The following is a 1,947-nucleotide window of genomic DNA, read 5'->3' on the forward strand; positions in this document are numbered from 1 at the left end:
TCCGCAATTAGAATCTAGTTGTTTATTTACCTAATTTTTAATCAGTTAGCATCTATATGTAAGCATGGGCCGTGTGTGTGTAGCTTAGTATCTGTGCTACTCCTCAATAACAGAGATCATTATATAAACATTTTTAAATTGATGAAATTCTTATTCAACAGGACTATCACATTCATAAACGTGCGAATTTGTAAGTGTTTAATGTGAAAATTCAATTGAACTTTTTCTTTAGATATAAAGGAAAACAAAATCTAAAATCAAAAATTTTTTAAAATGTCTTTTTATGTTAATTTTGTCAGCCTACAAAAACAACTTTTTCATTCTGCTTTATTGGTATGATAATGATATTTTGAGAAGTCTGCGACTCCAGGCACATAATAGAAGAAATAATGTTCTACTATTTGTTATACTCACTTGATTTTGAACTATTATTCAGTAGTTTTATTTCATTCCTGAAAATTAAAACAGTTTTCTGTTTCAGTCTTGCTAAATGAGAAAAAACAAAAAGGTAGAACAAAAGAGAAAAAGCAAAACAAACAAAAGGAAAGAAAAGAAAATGAAGAAAAATAGACAATATATTTAGATGTGTCTTCTTATCTAATTAAATGATGCTCCCATCAAATTATTTAAACCAATGAAATATTCAAATAATTATCTATCTCTCCCCCAAATCCTTAAGGGATTATATTCTGCATATTTAAAGTATGAAGCTCTCTATTGCTCTCCAATTGCAGATAATTAATTGGCTGAAATTATATTCAAGTACCTACTACAACTTTCTTTTGAAAACATTTACTTTGCTTGAAAAGCAAACATCTGATTTTGATCAGCTGTAATTATCATCTTACAAGAGGATTAAGATTAATGAATGACTATACAGTCTTTTATGTCATTAACTTGTTGATTCCATGTAGGATACTTCAGAGAATGTGATTCAATATTATTGGGAATTTCTCATAAACACAATTTTTACATAGAAATCAAAAGCTATTAATGAAGAAGAAAATTAGAAGATAAAAAGAGTAATTGCAAGGACAAGTCTCACTGAACTTAAAGTTTACAAAGTGCATATTTAAATGATAGAAATAAAGAGTAAAAACAAAAACACATAGATGAGTCACATGAGTTTTTAAGATAACTATGTGAACTCATAATGTTCTAAATTAGAAGTTTGTGAAAATTACTAAGACCCATAAACCACATTTAGACTGAAAAATGAATAAAGTATTACTCTTTTTGACAAATGGTAAAATAATATTATATGTAATATTATATGACAGACACTACTTTATTCCTTTTGTAGGGGATTATCTTCTCTGGCAAATAAAATAACTTTCTCACTAAAACAGTACGGTGGAAGAATAAATCTCAAGAAAGCTGAAGATATACAAGAGTGCCTGGCTTCTATAGTATGGGATTAAATCTCATGTTCTGGATCAGCTGTACCTCAGATTACTTCAAAATTATAGAAAAAATGCTAATTTTTCATTGTTGTAGAAAGATAAAGAGATGGAGCTATCAAAATGAGCAAATATTTCTTGTTTCAAAGAAAGAACTAAAACTGAATCTATGAATCAAATACTATTGACTTTGCATATTGATCCAGCTTAAAATTTTGTAACTGTTTAGGAGCATTTCAGTGATTTTTTGTTCAAACTGATTTAATGAGGAAAAAATCTGGAATATATTATTTTGAGAACATTAAAATAATTTGTGATAATTTGATATCAGAAAAGTATCTTTGTTGGATTCATCAAGCCATTTATGAATAATATCAATTCCATTTGAACAACGTTTTTAAGTGGGTTGAGTGAGAGAACCAGGAAGAATTCAAGTGTTCACATATAAGCAATTAAAAATGTATCTGGCGATAATTTTATGGGCGATATGAAAGGTATAATATGTGACAATAAAATTAGGGATTCCATAACCATTAGAAGTGCTATA

This window comes from Homo sapiens, chromosome 3 (genome assembly GCF_000001405.40).
Source record: "Homo sapiens chromosome 3, GRCh38.p14 Primary Assembly".
NCBI classification, from domain to species: domain Eukaryota; kingdom Metazoa; phylum Chordata; class Mammalia; order Primates; family Hominidae; genus Homo; species Homo sapiens.